The sequence below is a fragment of the Homo sapiens genome, chromosome 7, assembly GCF_000001405.40.
Source record: "Homo sapiens chromosome 7, GRCh38.p14 Primary Assembly".
NCBI lineage: Eukaryota > Metazoa > Chordata > Mammalia > Primates > Hominidae > Homo > Homo sapiens.
Genome location: NC_000007.14, coordinates 73,310,327 through 73,328,102, shown reverse-complemented (window position 1 = coordinate 73,328,102; position 17,776 = coordinate 73,310,327). Strand labels below are relative to the sequence as shown.

Genomic DNA, 17,776 nt, shown 5'->3' with positions numbered 1-17,776 from the left:
GGCACGTAATGGGAGCGCGCAGAGCATGATGGGGCACGCGCGGTAGCGCGAGGCGGGGCATGTAACCATAGCGTGCGGGTCATGATGAGGCACGGACGTGGGGGGTTAGGTGGGGCACGTAATTGGAGCTCGCGGGGCAGGATGGGGCATCTAACTGGAGCGACAGAGAGCACGATGGGGCACTTACAGGGGCCGGAGGCTGGGTACGTAACGAGAGCGAGCGGGAAATGATGGGGCACCTAACGAGCACGCAGAGCATGATGGGGCACGGGTGCGAGGTGGGGCGCACAGTGGGAGCGCGTGGGGCATGATGAGACACATGGCGAGGCCATCAGGGCACAGGGGAAGCACTTTTGGAACACGTGAGTGACAGGGCTGCCGCCCTTGAAGGAGCCCTCGGAGTGGCTGCGTGGTGGGGCACGTGGGGCAGGTTCAGGAAAAAGGATGCAGCATGTGATTGCAGGGCAACCTGGTGAGGACACGAGAGCCACCTGCCACCAGCAGGGTTCAGGGCTCCCAGCTGTGGGTTACTTCCACCTTCTTTCACTTTCTCTCTTCCATTGTGTTCTAGAGAATTTAGGCCCAGACAAGACACTGATTGATTGATTGATTGATTGATTGACAGAGGCTCGTTCTGAGCCCAGGCTGGAGTTCAGTGATGGATCTCAGCTCACTGCAGCCGCCACTCCCTGGGCTCAAGAGATCCTCTTGCCTCAGCCTCCCGAGTAGCTGGGATTACAGAACTGCACCACCAGGCCCAGCTAATTTATTTTTTAGTTTTTAATTTGCTGGAAAGATGGTTTGTAGCTTTGTTGCTAGGCTGGTCTTGAACTCCTGGCTTCAAGTGATCCTCCAGTCTTGGCCTCCCAAAGTGCTGGGATTATAGGCGTAAGCTACAGCCAACTTTCAATACTGCCCCATTGGGGGTTAAGTTTCCAACACATGAAATTAGGAGGATACATTCAAACCACAGCAGTATATTATGACCATAATATTCATTAACTGTATAACAGGACAGGCGCGGTGGCTCACACCTGTAATCCCAGCACTTTGGGAGGCCAAAGCCGGTGGATCGCTCCAGGTCAGGAGTTTGAGACCAGCCTGCCCCACATGATGAAACCCCATCTCTACTAAAATTACAAAGAATTAGCCGGGCATGGTGGCAGGCGCCTGTAACCCCAGCTACTTGGGAGGCTGAGGCAGGAGAATCACTTGAACCCGGGAGGCGGAGGTTGCAATGAGCCAGATTGCGCCACTGCACTCCAGCCTGGGTAACAAGAGCAAAACTCTGTCTCAGAAAACAAACAAAACCTGTATAACAGAGTGTCATTGAATTTCTAAACGTTGAAAGACTTCACATTAAAAAAAAAACTCACAATTCAATATTATTGAGTGAAAGTAACCAGACACAAAAGAGTACATTCTATATGATGCTGTTTATGTGAAATTCAAAAACAGTCCACATGACAACATGGTAATAAGGACAGTGGCTGTCCTTGTTAGGAGTTATGACTGGGAGGAGGCAGGAGGGAGCTTTCTGGAATCACTCTACATCTTGTTCTTGAGAGTGGGTGTATATACATCAAGTGTTTATCAAGCTGTGTGGTTAAGATTTGCACACTTGTATATGTTATACCTTGATTTAAAAAATCTAAGTAAATAAGGATACCTTTGAATATCTTAAAAAAAAAAAAAAAAGAGGCCAGGCTTGGTGGCTCACACCTATAATCCCAGCACTTTGGGAGGCTGAGGTAGGAGGATTGCTTGAGGCCGGGAGTTCAAAACCAGCCCAGGCAACAAAGCGAGACCCCTGTCTCTACTAAAATAAATAAAACAATAAAATGAAAAAAAATAGAGAGATTGAATCATCATCTGCCAGTTTGTATTAGAAAAAAAGAGAGAGAGAGGGAAGGCTGGGTGCAGTAAGGCTCACGCCTGTAATCCCAGCACTTTGGGAGGCCAAGGTGGGAGGATTGCTTGAGCCCAGAAGTTGAAGACCAGCCTGGGCAACAAAGCAAGACCCGGTATCTAAAAAAATTTTTTAAATATTAGCTTGGCATGGTGGCATGCACCTGTAGTCCCAGCTACTCAGGCAGCTGAGGTAGGAGGATGGCTTGAGCCTAGGAGTTGGAGGCTACAGTGAGCTATGACCACGCCACTGCACTCCAGCCTGGGCAACAGAGCAACAAGCTGTCTTTCCCCACCCCCCAGCCCCCCCGCCCAAAAAAAGGAGAGTAAGAGCAAGAGTTTGAGATTCAGAAAGAACTGTTTCCCAGCACCTATCTGCTCCTGTTGGGGTCATGAGGTGTGGACGGTGTACCCAGTCCCTCTGTTTCTGCCCCTCCTCCACAGTGGCCAAGGCCAGCACCTGAATGTTATCAGAGCAGGCCCAACAAAGGCTGCCTCCCCAGTCCCGTGATGTAACCCAGTTTCCACCTGATTCTGGTGACCTTGGGGACACAGGGGTGTTGCTGGGAAAGGGGAGGAGAGAAGGGGCAGAGACCAGGCAGTGGTGCAGGCGTCCAGCTGCATTTCCCACTTCTGACTCTGTGCCTGCTGTTCCCTGCTGGGAAGAAGGAAAGCCAGTGATGCTGGCTTGAGGCTGTAGTGGGAGGCCCAGCGGATTGTGAGAAGCCAGGTATTCCAATGTCGGGCTCCCCCGGGGGCTGCTGGTGCTGCTTCTGTCTCATTGACAAGCTTTCATAGGGGAGCAGGTGGGAGATCAGGGTAGAGGCCTTGTAGGTTCCAGGCTCTCTAGAATTACCTGGGAGTGTCACCTATAAGTGTAGAGTTCTGGGTCTCACTGGAGACCCCCTGAAGAAGATCCTTTGAAGGTGGGCCTCTAGAATCTCTATTACACCTATGCTTTCAACAGTTTCCCGAAAGTTTGGGAACTGATCTAGAAGGTGGGGAGCTTGCCTAGGTTTTGCTGTTCAGTTCTAGGTCCGGATGCATGCTGGGGCTGGACCTTGCATTATTAGTGTCACTGCAAATGACCCTGCAGATGGCCCCTTTCATGCTTGTCTCCAAATTTGAGTAAAAAATGTAGACACACACACACACACACACACACACACACACACACACATATCTTCAAGGGACCAGTTTTTTTCACTGCAGTCTTTTGTTTTACAGCTGCGGAAACTGGGGCCCAAGGTCATGTGGGTTAGGACTGGGATCCAGGACTCAAAGTGTTTCCTCTAAAATTCTGGTGCTCCTTAGGGTTGAGGGTGGTGGATGAGTGCTGGACAGGGGGAGGGGAGGGGACAGGACTGAGGTCGGATGCCTGTGTTTCAGCCCGGGCAGTGAGTGTGGATGGCTTGGCAGGTGAGCCTGCCAGAGCTGGAGGACCGGCTTCAGTGTCCCATCTGCCTGGAGGTCTTCAAGGAGCCCCTGATGCTGCAGTGTGGCCACTCTTACTGCAAGGGCTGCCTGGTTTCCCTGTCCTGCCACCTGGATGCCGAGCTGCGCTGCCCCGTGTGCCGGCAGGCGGTGGACGGCAGCAGCTCCCTGCCCAACGTCTCCCTGGCCAGGGTGATCGAAGCCCTGAGGCTCCCTGGGGACCCGGAGCCCAAGGTCTGCGTGCACCACCGGAACCCGCTCAGCCTTTTCTGCGAGAAGGACCAGGAGCTCATCTGTGGCCTCTGCGGTCTGCTGGGCTCCCACCAACACCACCCGGTCACGCCCGTCTCCACCGTCTACAGCCGCATGAAGGTGGGGAGTGAGGGTGCAGGGGCGGCTGGAGAGGCCCGCGGGGACCAGATCCTGTGCTCTCTGGTGCCATCACCTGGCACCAAAAGGATCCAGCTATCCTCGATTTCCCTGCAGCTGTGCCCTGGCGCATTCATTCCTTAGCGTTTGAGCTGCAGCTCAACCCAGGTGCCGGGGATTGAAGCCACACGAACAGGATGGGAGCTCCCTGGTGTCACGTGCTCACCCCTTCCTGTTTTTTTATTTGCAGTTCTGGTTTGTTCCTTTTTCTTTTCTTCCTTCTCCTTCCCTCTTCCCTCTTCCCTCTTCCTCTCCCTCTCCCTCTCTCCTTTCTTTTTTTTCTTTCTTTTTGGAGACAGCGTCTCACTCTGTTGCCCAGGCTGGAGTGCAGTGGTGTGATCATGGCTCACTGCAGCCTCCAACTCCTAGGCTGAAGCAATCCTCCCACCTCAGCCTCCCGAGCAGCTGGGGCTACAGGTGCACACCACCATGCCCAGCTCATTTTTCATATTTTGTAGAAATGGGGTCTTGTTATGTTGCCCAGGCTGGTGTTGAACTCCTTGGCCTCCAATGATCCTCCTGCCTGGGCCTCCCAAAGTGCTGGAATTATAGGCATGCACCACTGCCCTAGGCCCCTTGTTTGTGTCTGGACACTCCCCTGTTTGCACTCTATGGTGCATGAGGGTGGGGACTTCATTTTGTCCCCTGGTGTATTTCAGTGCCTGGAGCCATGCCTGGCACATTGTAAATGTCCAAAATGCTGAATCAGTGAATTCCTGCCTTTATAGGCCATCACCAAACCTAGCAGATCATTCTTTAAGACGAGTAATAATAATACCTGGCTGGCTGTTATATATATAAAACACCTGTTATAAAACACGTGACTGGGTGGCTTATGCCTATAATAACAGCACTTTGGGAGGCCGAGGTGGGTGGATCACTTGAGTCCAGGAGTTTGAGACCAGCCTGGGCAACATAGTGAGACCCTGCCTCTACAAAAGTTTCAAAATTAGCCTTGTTGGCCAGGCACAGTGGCCACTCCTGTAATCCCAGCATAAGGCTGGAGGGAACATCGGTGGGGGTGAGATAGGGCCAGCGAGGTAAGCTGCGGCTGGGGCATGGAGAGGCCAGTGTGACCCGGGAAGGGATTTGGAGTTTATTCACAGGATGAGGGAGCAAGGCGGAGGCTGGAGGGTTTTAAGCCAGTGATGAAATGCTCAGATCTCTCTGGCAGAGGGGAGCTTTGAGGGTGAGGCAAAAGGACAGTGAGAGATGAAGGTGCCAGGACCTAAGTCGATGGGAACTGGGACAAAGGCCTGGGGCAGACCAAAGACAAATTTCAAACAGAAAAAAACCCTGACAACTGTGTGTGGCAAGGAGGGTGAGGGACGGGAAGGTTGACTCCAGCTCTGTGATTCCCCCTTGCACAGAGGAAATGATCGCAGGGGAGGATCCGGCGTGGGCAGGTGGAGCCGGAGGTGCCTGGATATGTGCAGTCGGGTCGAGGGGTGTGCAGACCAGGACAGCGGTGGGGCTCAGGGCGAGAGGTGTGGAGGGTCCTTCCTCCTGGTGGTCACTGAAGTCCCCTTTGGTGGAGAAGACCAACCCAGGAGAGTCTACATAGTGATAAGGGAAGACACTGATGATGACCCCAAGGGGTACCAGGCTTAAAATCTGGATTGAGAGAGAGCCCTGAAAAAAGGGATAGAAAGAATCCTCAGAGCGGGAACACCAGCTGAGTGTGGCCTCCCGGAAATCAGAGAGACAGAGACTGAAGGAGATCACGTGTGTGAAATGTCTCTGAGGACTGAAAAGTGTTAGATGTAGCAGTAAGAACTGATTATCTTGGCAAGAGCAGGTTTAGGGGAGTATGGAAGGTGGAAGCTGACTGCAGGTGAGGAAGCCGAGTTTATGTTTTATTAGTTAATGGGAAGGAGGGAGGGAAACAGGCTGGGAGCTTATCTGTCCTTTGTGGTTAGGATCCAGCAGCCCAGCTTGGGTCCCTGTTTTAGATTTGGGCTTAATTTTGTTGTTGTTGTTGTTGAGACAGAGTCTCGCTCTGTCGCCCAGGCTGGAGCGCAGTGGTGCGATCTCGGCTCACTGCAAGCTCCGCCTCCCGGGTTCACGCCATTCTCCTGCCTCAGCCTCCCAAGTAGCTGGGACTACAGGCGCCCACCACCATGCCCGGCTAATTTTTTGTATTTTTAGTAGAGGCGGGGTTTCACCGTGTTAGCCAGGATGGTCTCGATCTCCTGACCTCGTGATCCACCCGCGTCAGCCTCCCAAAGAGTTGGGATTCCAGGTGTGAGCCACTGTACCCGGCCAGATTTGGGGTTTGATGATCCCGAGGCTCTTCTCTGTTGCAACACAGAATACAACTAAATTGCACTCCTTTATTGCCCTCTTTTAGGTGTTCCCGTTGCCTCCTGTTTATTGAGATTTTGAGATGCTCGATTGATGGGTGCATTGATTTGCATAACTTAGTTCCTCTCACGGGGAAGGAATGAGTCCCGTCTGTCTGCCTGGGGAGAGTGACATTGGAATGTCGTTCTTGGGCCGCTGTGAAATATTCTGATGCCTCGTTCTCCAGAGCAAGGACTCTGTCCGTTTATGCCAGCAAGTGCTTGATTCTTTACGCAACTCCCTTCCTGAAAGCCCCTTGCAGCTCTCTGGTGCTTGGGCACGATCCAAGCCAAAAATTCTGTATATTGCATGGGTACAAACCGACGGGGGCTCTGGTCAAATCGTGCAGTAGATGGTGGTCCAGGGGTCCCGGTTGGCACCCCCAAGGCTAGGTCAGGTTTGGGGCCCGGGCAGTCCAGGAGAAGTGCATTTATGTCAGCTTGGGGAGGTCGCAAATCCGTGCTGTGTCCAAGCCCACCAGGAATGGATTCAGGTGTTTATGGGTGTGGGGATTCACCAGGTTTAACCCAGGCCCGTGTGAGCACCACTGGCCCTAGAATTAGCCTCACCTGGCGCCGGCCTTTTTGTGATGGCTCCTGATTAAATACCCACTAATTCTGGATCTGCTGGTGACCACAGAGTTCACCTGATGGGTCCCCTACAGGCAGCATTCAATCCAGGAAGTGCCAGCATCACATGGTGACTTCTGGTAGCTGTAACGTTTAGTGACTCTCTCCATGTCATGCAGAGGGGTGACATTGAGACCCTCTTATGCCTGGGAAGTTCCTGCTGTCAATGCAGAATATTCTTTAAAAAAAAATTAGAGATGGGATCTCACTGTGTTGCCCAGGCTGGTCTCAAACTCCTATCCTCAAGTGATTCTCCCACCTTGGCCTCCTAAAATGCTGGGATTACAGGCACGAGCCATTGTGCCCAGCCTAGAATATTCCTTTTTTTTTTTTTTGAGACGGAGTTTCACTCTTGTTGCCCAGGCTGGAGTGCAATGGCGCGATCTTGGCTCACTACAACCTCTGCCTCCCAGGTTCAAGCAATTCTCCTGCCTCAGCCTCCCGAGTAGCTGGGATTACAGGCATGCACCACCACGCCTGGCTAATTTTGTATTTTTAGTAGAGACAGGGTTTCTCCATGTTGAGGCTGGTCTCGAATTCCTGACCTCAGGTGATCCACTCGCCTCGGCCTCCCAAAATGCTGGGAGTACAGGCGTGAGCCACTGCGCCCAGCCTAGAATATTCTTGAATTAATTTATCTTATTTTTTATTTTTATTTTTTTGAGACAGAGTCTCACTGTGTCACCCAGGCTGGAGTGCAGTGGCATGATCTTGGCTCACTGCAACCTCCACCTCCCAGATTCAAGCGATTCTCGTGCCTTAGCCTCCCAAGTAGCTGGGACTACAGGTGTATGCCACCACGCCTGGCTAATTTTTGTATTTTTAATAGAAATGGGGTTTCACTATGTTGGCCAGGCTAGTCTCGAACTCCTGACCTCAAGTGAAGTCCCACCTCAGTCTCCCAAAGTGCTGGAATTACAGGCGTGAGCTTCTGCGCCCAGACTATTCTCGAACAATTTAACCTGTTTTGGACTCAAGGGTACCTGGGTGGCTCTGGTTCCCGCCCTGGTTTCCCTGGGAGTGCTTGTGGCCATTGGGATACTCCCAAGAAGGTGATCCAAGGAGCTGAGAAGGGGAGGGATCAGCTGCTCATGGGGCCATGGCCTGTTGCCTCCAGGAGGAGCTCGCAGCCCTCATCTCTGAGCTGAAGCAGGAGCAGAAAAAGGTGGATGAGCTCATCGCCAAACTGGTGAACAACCGGACCCGAATCGTCGTGAGTGCCCCTTCCCTCTGCCCCTGCCTGGGACCGGCCACCTTCACTTTCCTGTAGAACTCAGTTCTCATTGGTCCTTTACAGAAAACCATGCCTTCCATATAAAGCCAGAACTCAAAGCATTCCCAGGGCGGGGTGGGGAAAGCGCAAATCCTCTCAGGGGAATTCAACCCAGTTGTCGTTAGGACTGGCTCCAAGTTGGCTTTTGCCCTCTGTGTCCTTGAGACTGAGATAACCCAGGACTTGAGTCTCAGGGGGTAAACAGCTCAAAGCATGGGCATGACTCCTCCGCCCCTGTGCCACCTGTGTCTGCTTGACCTTGCCAGCCTGTCATGGTGCCCTCCCAGTACCTGGGTGCTCAGGCGTGGAGAGGCTGGCAGCCCTGGGCCCTGGCTGATCTCCCGAAGTGAGAGGCACATGGGGCTGGGAGCCATAGTGCCCCGGCCCTGGAGGTGGCTGTGAAACAGAAACAGGAGCCGGGCAAGATCCAGGAGCACTCAGCCTCCCTCATTTACCCTCCTCACCCTTGCGCGGCAGGCGGTACCAGCCCTGCCTGGTGGAGGCGGAGCTCAGGGTTCTGCAGGGAGTTCTGGCTCCCTCACAGCAAAGCCTGCTCGCCTAGGGCCTTCCTGCTTTCCTTCAGTTGTGGAACTCTGGGATATGCACATTTAATAGCTGAAATAGGCAAAGTGGGGTGTGGTGGCGTGCATCTGTAATCCCAGCAACTCGGGAGGCTGAGGCGGGAGGATTGCTTGAGGCTGGGAGGTCAAGGCTACAGTGAGCTATGATCATGCCACTGTGCTCCAGCCTGGGCAACAGAGTGAGACCCTGTCTCTTAAAAAAAAAAATTAAAACAGGCCAAAACAGAGCCTCTCCATTTGAAACGGGAGCTGGGGTCACCCTCCCCACGGCCACCGCCAGGGCTCCCCATGCATGGGGTGAACTCCCTGCCCGGCGCCAGGCCATGCAGCCTCCCCTGAGACTCAGGTCCCAGGACCAACCCGGTCAGGAAGGCCCTGGGGACACCGAGGCCAGCCAGACAGAGCCTGGCAGCTCGGCTGTGACTCTGCAGTGACCAGCCCTCCCTGTCCCAGAATGAGTCGGATGTCTTCAGCTGGGTGATCCGCCGCGAGTTCCAGGAGCTGCACCACCTGGTGGATGAGGAGAAGGCCCGCTGCCTGGAGGGGATAGGGGGTCACACCCGTGGCCTGGTGGCCTCCCTGGACATGCAGCTGGAGCAGGCCCAGGGAACCCGGGAGCGGCTGGCCCAAGCCGAGTGTGTGCTGGAACAGTTCGGCAATGAGGACCACCACAAGTTCATCCGGGTGAGTGGACAGGGAGGCGTCCCATCCCCATACCCGCCAGGGCCTTCCCCTTCCCAACAGTGCCCTAGCTTCCCACCTTCTAGCCTTAACCTCCCTCTCTCTTGCCTTCCAGAAGTTCCACTCCATGGCCTCCAGGTAATAACCTTGGAGAGAGCTCAGCCAGGGTCTGGTGGCTGCGGGCACGGGCATCTCAGCTCCACTGGTTCCTCCATTCGGTTTAACCAGCGCCTCCCAAGCAGCTGCCCACAGCTGGCTCTATAACTGAGCCTGGGAAAAACAGAGGAAAGTCATGTCCCTGCCTTCAAGGGTCTCGTAGATGGGTGGGGAGGCAGATGGTGAACTGTGGGTACCTAGAACAGCAGAAGTTCACTCAAGCTACAGAAATACTAGAGGAGGGTAGCTCATGCCTGCAATCCCAGTACTTTGGGAAGCCAAGGCAGGAGGATTGCTTGAGGCCAGGAGTTCGAGACCAGCCTGGCCAATGTAGTAAGACCCCATCTCTACAAAAAATACAAAAATAAAAAAATTAGTTGGGCATGGTGTCATGTGCCTATAGTCCCCGCTACTCATGAGGCTGAGGCGGGAGGATTGCTTGAGCCCAGAAGTTTGATGCTGCAGTGAGTCGTGACCATGCTACTGCATGATCCAGCCTGGGTGACGGAGCGAGACCCTGTCTCAGAAAACAAAACAGAATGCTAGAGGAGGAGCAGGTGTCTGGGGGACCTGGCAGAGGGGCACAGGCCTGATGGCTGAGAAGGACCCAGGACCTGAGTTTGCCAGGCAAGCCGAGGAAACGGTCCTGTAAAAGGGGGAGTGGCATGTGGACTCTGGTTATGAGTTCAGGGTGGCTGGGTGTAAGGCAGGATATCACCAGGAGTCGGAGCTGGGAGAGGTGGGAAATGGCCAGAAGCAACATCCAGGAGCACCGGGCATCCCTTGCTTACCCTCCTCACCCTTGCGCAGCAGGCAGTATCAGCCCTGCCTGAAACTTGCTCTGCAGATTGTGGGAAGAGAGTGGATCCATGTTCTAGACCCAACAAACGAACACGTGCAGTTCCCAAGCCTTCCTCACTCCCTGTTTATGGGAGACTCCGTGTTTCTCACATTTCTTTTAGTCTTAGAGACAATTTGGTCAGAAGACATGGGTTTAAATGAAGGGACAGAGGCTGGGCATGGCGGCTTACACCTGTAATCCCAGCATTTTGGAAGGCTGAGGCAGAAGGATGCCTTCAGGTCAGGAGTTCGAGACCAGCCCAGCCAACATGGTGAAACCCCGTCTCTATGAAAAATACAAAAATTAGCTGGGTGTGGTGGCAGGCACCTGTAATCACAGCTGCTGGGGAGGCTGAGGCATGAGAATCACTTGAACCTGGGAGGTAGAGGTTTCACCGAGCTAAGATCACCCCACTGCACTCCAGCCTGGGCGACAGAGCAAGACTCCATCTCAAAAAAAAAAAAAAAAAAAAAAGTCTTGGCATGGTGGCTCATAGCTGTAATCCCAGCACTTTGGGAGGCCAAGGTGGGTGGATTGCTTGAGCTCAGGAGCTCAAGACCAGCCTGGGCAACATGGTGAAACTGTCTCTACCAAAAATAGAAAAAAATTAGCTGGGCATGGTGGCACATGCTTATAGTCCCAGCTGCTAGGTAGGCTGAGGTGGGAGGATCACTTGAGCCCAGGGGGTTGAGGCTGCACTGAGTCGAAATCATGCCACTGCACTCCAGCCTGGGTGACAGAGTGAAACTCTGACTCAAAAAAAAAAGACACATTACTTGGCCCCCATAATTGGTTTCTGATTGGCAGGTCTGGTGTGGGGTCTAAGAACCTGCATTTCTGACCATTTCCCAGGTGGACCATTGACTTTCTACTGGGAATGGGTTGGACCATTTTCCAACCAACACTGCTGGTCCCCAAACCTGCACTCTAGAAGCACCACTATAGAGCGTTTCCCCTTCTAGGAAGGAGATGGGTCCTCCCTGAAGGGGCTGTGCAGGGGAGGGGATGATGGGCATTGATGGGCATTGTGACTGCAGTCCTGCACTGTGGATCTGGCTGGGCAAACATAGATAGGATGGAGGGGTGGGGTGGGCCACGTGATACCTCACTCTCTTGTACTGTGAACTGTCACCTGCAGAGCAGAGATGCCGCAGGCCCGGCCCTTAGAAGGCGCATTCAGCCCCATCTCCTTCAAGCCAGGCCTCCACCAGGCTGACATCAAGCTGACCGTGTGGAAAAGGCTCTTCCGGAAAGTTTTGCCAGGTGAGGCCCTGACCCGTCCTCCTTCCTGAGGGCTGCCGCCCAGGGCAGGTGGCAGTTCATCGATTGTATCAGAGAGATAATAAGCTACAGAGAACTCAGATGGAGGTTTGTGGAGGGTCCTAGTGAGAGCATGGGACTGAGTTTCCGAACAGCTTGGGTTCCTGCTTACTCTTTCCTTTCCTAGCTGCTGGCTGGGCAAGTTGTGTCATTTCTGAGCCCAGGTTCCTCATCTGTAAAGTGGGGCTATTTGCACCCACCCGGCCAGGCTGCAGAGCTTGTATATAGACATACGTGTGTTGCAGCTTAGTGCTTCATAAATGGTATTAGGTTGGTGCAAAAGTAATTGCAGTTTTTGCCATTACTTTTAAAAGTAATGTACTTTTTGTCTGGGCACAGTGGCTCATGCCTGTAATCCCAGCATTTTGGGAGGCTGAGGAGGGCGGATCTTCTGAGGTCAGGAGTTCAAGTCCAGCTTGGCCAACATGGTGAAACCCCGTCTCTACTAATAATACAAGAATTAGCTGGGCGTGGTAGTGTGCGCCTGTAATCCCAGCTACTCAGGAGCCTGAAGCAGGAGAATCACTTGAACCAGGGAGGTGGAGGTTGCAGTGAGTTGATATCGTGCCATTGCACTCCAGCCTGGGCAACAAGAGCAAAACTCCGTCTCAAAAAAAAAAAAAAAAGTAATATCCTTTTAAAAATGTCCTTCCTACTCAAAGGACAAGTGGTCTTCAAAGTAATGGCAAAAACCGCAATTACTTTTGAACCAACCTATTCTTGTTCTCTGTCAAAAACAACTCAAACACATTTCATTCCTTTATTACTAGCATGCTGTCTTGTACATAAGGGAGACTGCTAACAGAGCGATTTCATCCACCAAAAGCAAAAATAGGGTTTATATAAAAGAAGGGGCTGGGCACGGCGGCTCACGCCTGCAATCCCAGCACCTTGGGAGGCCAAGGTGGGAGGACTGCTTGAGGCCAGGAGTTCAAAACCAGCCTGGGTAACATAGTGAGACGCCATCTCTACAAAAAATAATTAGTGGGGTGTGGTGTTATGTGCCTGTGGGCCCAGCTACTGAGGAGGCTGAGGCAGGAGGATTGCTTGAGCCCAGGAGTTGGGAGGCTGCAGTGAGCTATGATTGCACCACTGCACTCCAGCCTGGGTGACAGAGGAGACCTCATCAGTAAAAAAGAAAAGAATGAAAAAAAAAAAAAAGGAAAGATAAGAAGGAAAAAAATTGCAGTTTGTGAACTGTGAATCCTGTTTGTACATCTCACATTTCTTTTTTTTTTTTTGAAGGAAAATTTGTATTATTTTCATGTACAGAAAACTCAACAGTGTACGTTTTACCCAGTTTAGTGGTAGTTTCTTTAGTCTTTGCCTTTTTGAGCTTGGCAATGTGAGCCACAGACTTGGGACCCAGGACACTGCCTCCCCAGTGATGGCGGATCTCATCACATTTGTTGTTGTAATTGGTCCTGGTAGCTTCCACCAGCTTAGCCCAAGCTCCTTTGTCTTCCAAGTTAACCTGTGTGAAGGCGACAGTGGTGCAGGTCTTCCTGGGGACTAGACATCCCAGTCTTGCCTTCCCCTTGATGATGCAGTCAGGGACCCCACTTTACACACAGGCACAGGCAGGAAGACAGCCAGCTTGATGGGACCCATGTTGCGTGGAGTCACCACCAGCTGAGCCTTCCTTTTTTTTTTTTTTTTTTTGAGACAGAGTCTCTGTCACCCAGGCTGGAGTGCAGTGGTGTGATCTCAGCTCACTGCAACCTCTGGCTCCTGGGTACAAGTGATTCTTCTGCCTCAGCCTCCTGAGTAGTTGGGACTATAGGCGTGTGCCACCACGCCCGGCTAATTTTTGTATTTTAGTAGAGACGGGGTTTTTCATTATGTTGGCCAGGCTGCTTGCAAACTCCTGGCCTCAAGTGATCTGCCTGTCTCAGCCTCCCAAAGTGCTGAGATGACAGGCATGAGCCACTGTGCCTGGCCCAGCTGAGCGTTCTTGTTCTCCATCAAGGTGGTGACGGTGTTAATTCCTGCTCCAAGGACAGGTGGCCTCTTAGTGGGGACATCCCCTTTGCTGGCAGCTTTCTTCTCAGTCAGGGCCAACAGTCTCTGCTTCTTCTCTTGCTTTGCCCCTGGTCTGTACTTCTGGGCCAGCTTAAGCAGCTGAATAGCTGTTTGGCGGTCCAGGGCCTGGGTGAACTGGTTAATAGCAGGAGACAGTTTCTGCTACTTATAGAGGATGGCTGTCCGCCACTGCACCCTGACCGAGCAGGACCATTGCACAAAGTGGGCGAGGTCCGTTTTGGCCTGGAAGTCCTGTCCAGTGCCAAAAGTCTTAGGCCTTTTCTCAAACGGGATAAACCACTTTCTTGGCCTCCTGCTTCTTCACGCCAGCAGGGGCCGGAGCCACCTTCTTCCCCTTGGCCTTCTTTCCTTGCGGCAACTTGGGTGGCGGGAAGGGGTGGGAGGCGGGCAGGGGGGAGCACATCTCACATTTCTGGGGTAAACGGATCAGCTGGTAACTAGCAAAAAGCTCAGGTGGGCTAGTTCGTCCTTGAATAGGCTGACTAGGCTAGCAAATCCAACAGCTGCAGTTGTTATGGGTTCTCCAGAAATCCCTGAGGGCTGAGCTATAGGCTCACAGGACAGGTGTCTTCCGGGTCCTTCCCACAACACCTCTGTGTCAGGCAGGCAGGCCAGAACCCCGAGCCCAGTGTCCATTTCTTTCTCCAGCCACCTCAGCCCCCCACAGCCCACCAAGCTGCTCCCTTTTATATAAACACTGTTTTTGCCTTGGGTGGATGCAATCAGTCTGTGATTGATCTTCCTTATGTAAAACTTCATTCATTCATTCATTCATTCATTCATTCATTCATTCAGGGAGCAGCCCTGTACTGGCCCCTTCTAGACCCTGGGGCTAGAGAGATGAGGAAGACACAGCCCCTCTCCTTGGGGAGTTCAGGGCCTCCATCAGCTTCTGTGGGCCGGGTCTGCTGCCCTCCACGTGGCCTCACAGACCCTCTGTGATCTCCCTCCCAGCCCCGGAGCCTCTCAAGTTGGACCCTGCCACTGCCCACCCACTCCTGGAGCTCTCCAAGGGCAACACGGTGGTGCAGTGCGGGCTTCTGGCCCAGCGGCGAGCCAGCCAGCCTGAGCGCTTCGACTACAGCACCTGCGTCCTGGCCAGCCGCGGCTTCTCCTGCGGCCGCCACTACTGGGAGGTGGTGGTGGGCAGCAAGAGCGACTGGCGCCTGGGGGTCATCAAGGGCACAGCCAGCCGTAAGGGCAAGCTGAACAGGTCCCCCGAGCACGGCGTGTGGCTGATCGGCCTGAAGGAGGGCCGGGTGTACGAAGCCTTTGCCTGCCCCCGGGTACCCCTGCCCGTGGCCGGCCACCCCCACCGCATCGGGCTCTACCTGCACTATGAGCAGGGCGAACTCACCTTCTTCGATGCCGACCGCCCCGATGACCTGCGGCCGCTCTACACCTTCCAGGCCGACTTCCAGGGCAAGCTCTACCCCATCCTGGACACCTGCTGGCACGAGAGGGGCAGCAACTCGCTGCCCATGGTGCTGCCCCCGCCCAGCGGGCCTGGCCCCCTCAGCCCCGAGCAGCCCACCAAGCTGTAGGGCCGCCCGGAGTCCTGCCGGCCCACAGGCCCATCCCGGCGGGGCACCGGGGACTCGCGGGCTTCTGCTGGGTCCCGCCTGAGGTGATATCGTCACTGTTTAGGAAGGTCTTCAGGCCTGTGTGTCCCTGGAACATGTAATGATAGGGAACAGGACCCCAGTCCCTTTCCCCTCAGCCAAGGGTGTATTTGTAAACTTCGGCCCCCAGGCCTTGGCAGCCAGGGACACACTGAAATCCCCATGGTTCCTGCCACTTGCTAACCATGCTATCTGCGCAGACGCTTCCGAGGGCAGAAATAGTCCCATGTATACCTTTTCCATATTACTGTGAACTTTCAACTACTATCAAGGATAATAAATTTGACATTATTTCTTTCTCTTTAAATGATTTGCACATATTAGTTGCTATACATACTGCTTTATGCTCGAGTCTTTTTTTTTTTTTTTTTTTCCTGAGATGGAGTCTCTCTCTGTCACCTAGGCTGGAGTGCAGTGGCACGATGTAGGCTCACTGAAACCTACACCTCCCGGATTCAAGTGATTCTCCTGCCTCAGCCTCCCGAGTAGCTGGGATTATAGGCATGTGCCCCATACCCAGCTAATTTTTGTATTTTTAGTAGAGATGGGGTTTCGCTGTGTTGGCCAGGCTGGTCTTGAACTCCTGACCTCAAATTATTTACTTGTCTCAGCCTCCCAAAGTGCTGGGATTACAGGCGTGAGCCACCGTGCCCAGCCTCGAGTCTAGTTTCAGAGACAGGATCTTGCTCTGTCACCCAGGCTGGAGAGCAGTGGCACAATTGTAGCTTACTGCAGCCTTGACCTCTCAGGCTCAAGTGATCCTCCTGCCTCAGCCTCCTGAGTAGCTGAGACAACAAGTGTCTGCCACCATACCCAGCTAATATTTAAATTTTTAGTAGAGACGGGATCTTGCTATGTTACCCAGGCTGGTCTGGGCCTCAAGCAATCCTCCCACCTTGGCCTGCCAAAGCGCTGGGATTACAGGTGTGAGCCACTGTGCCTAGGCTGTCATGCCCCTTTGACTCACCATACCCACAGGCTAAGTGGGTCCTGGAAGCTCTGGGGTAGCCCTCTAACCAAGATGCTGGCTCTGGCCACTGGAAGTCAAACTGGGTGCACAGACCAATAAGAGGGCCTGAGGGAGACTAGCTGGGGCAAACAGCAACCCTCAGCCTCCCCACAATCCTGACTTTCCTCCCTCCTCTCCTCAGTCTCCTTCAAGGATTCAGCCTCTCCTCCTGGCCACTCATGGCCTGAGGACCTCCAGGCTCCTCTTCTGGCTGTCTACCCCTCCACACCCATAGCTCCAGTCATCACTTCCACAGGGATGACTCAGAAGTTCCCTCTCCGGGAGACCCGTCCCTTACATGCCACATCCAGTAGCGCTCCAGCCATTCAGCAGCTCCGCCTGGACGTCAAGGGCATGTCCAAAACCGCGCTCATGATCTTCCTACTCCCCCATCCCTGAGATTTATCCTGTGGCTGTGGTGTCCTGTGGCTACTGTAACAAATGACCACAAACTTGGTGGCTTCAAACAAATTTAATCTCTCATGGTTCTGAAGGCCAGATGTCCAAGATCACGATGACGGCAAGGCCGCGCTCCCTCTGGAGACTGTCGGGGAAAACCTGCCCCTTTCCTCTTCAGCTTCAGGTGGTGGCTGCCATGCCCTGGTGTTTCCTGGCCCTGTGGCCGCATCATTCCAATCTCTGCCTCCGTCTTCACGTGGCCTTTTCTGTATGTGCCGGTCTAATCTTCCTCTGCTTCTTATTTTTTTTTTTTTTTTTTTTTTTTTTTTTTTTTTTTTTGAGACAGAGTCTTGCTCTGTTGCCCAGGCTGGAGTGCAGTGGTATGATCCCAGCTCACTGCAACCTCCGCCTCCCAGGTTCAAGCAATTCTTTTGCCTCAGCCTCCTGAGTAGCAGGGATTACAGGCATGCACCACCACACCTGGCAAATTTTTGTATTTTTAGTAGAGATGGGGTTTCACCATGTTGGCCAGGCTGGTTGCGAACTCCTGGGCTCAAGGGATCTGCCAGCCTCGGCCTCCCAAAGTGCTGGGATTACAGGTGTGAGTCACTGCGCTTGTCCTTCCTCTGCCTCTCTCTTATAGGGATACTGGTGATGCCATGCAGGACCTGCCCAGATAATCGAGGATAACCTTCTCTCCAAATCCTTCCCCTGATCATTCCTACAGATCTCTTCCATAGAAGGTGACATTTCCAGGCTCTAGGAATTAGGACCTGCTCTCTCTGGGTGGCCGTTGTTCACTCCATCACCCCACGTTTCCCCATCCTACCAAAAGACACAGCAGCATTGTGTGAACTGCCCAAACTGAAAACCTACGAGTTATTCTCGACCTGTCCTTTTTCCTGAGCAAGTTCTGTGGATTTAACTTAGCGGTCACACTGCCAATTTCAACCTAACTCCACTGCCACCAACTCAGTCCAGGCCACCAGTTCTTGTTTAGGTGACTCCCATGACCCCCATTGGTCTCTCCCTGCCTCAACTCTGCCCCCTCCATCCTATATCCCCACACTGTAACCAGACTGATTATTTATTTTTTGGGGAAAGAATC

General features: G+C 53.2%; 1 protein-coding gene and 1 pseudogene across 7 annotated transcripts, besides 2 other annotated features; one reads left to right on the top strand and one right to left on the bottom strand.

The window, feature by feature from the left end:
* TRIM50 (tripartite motif containing 50) lies at nucleotides 21-15,567 on the top strand. 7 transcript variants are annotated; one of them, NM_001281450.1, is made up of 7 exons: nucleotides 21-203; nucleotides 3,298-3,714; nucleotides 7,861-7,956; nucleotides 9,051-9,281; nucleotides 9,397-9,416; nucleotides 11,414-11,538; nucleotides 14,593-15,567. In NM_001281450.1, exons 2-7 carry the CDS (start codon nucleotides 3,316-3,318, stop codon nucleotides 15,180-15,182), a joined length of 1,461 nt encoding a protein of 486 aa, NP_001268379.1. In that variant the 5' UTR covers nucleotides 21-203; nucleotides 3,298-3,315; the 3' UTR covers nucleotides 15,183-15,567. The 7 variants fall into 7 exon arrangements, with proteins under 7 accessions (NP_001268379.1, NP_835226.2, XP_047275836.1 ...); NM_178125.3 differs by having other exon boundaries at nucleotides 9,394-9,416; XM_011515789.2 differs by lacking the exon at nucleotides 21-203 and adding an exon at nucleotides 2,528-2,638.
* Nucleotides 7,773-8,665: an enhancer, noted in NCBI's record as "H3K27ac-H3K4me1 hESC enhancer chr7:72733437-72734329 (GRCh37/hg19 assembly coordinates)". NCBI's record gives its function as "activates a minimal SCP1, AML or CMV promoter by ChIP-STARR-seq in naive and primed H9 embryonic stem cells {active_cell/tissue: H9 hESC(naive and primed)}" and the evidence as "EXISTENCE:reporter gene assay evidence [ECO:0000049][PMID:30033119]".
* Nucleotides 8,666-9,559: an enhancer, noted in NCBI's record as "H3K27ac-H3K4me1 hESC enhancer chr7:72732543-72733436 (GRCh37/hg19 assembly coordinates)". NCBI's record gives its function as "activates a minimal SCP1, AML or CMV promoter by ChIP-STARR-seq in primed H9 embryonic stem cells {active_cell/tissue: H9 hESC(primed)}" and the evidence as "EXISTENCE:reporter gene assay evidence [ECO:0000049][PMID:30033119]".
* Nucleotides 12,890-13,996, bottom strand: RPL7AP77 (ribosomal protein L7a pseudogene 77; annotated as a pseudogene).
* Nucleotides 15,568-17,776: the final 2,209 nt, after the last annotated feature.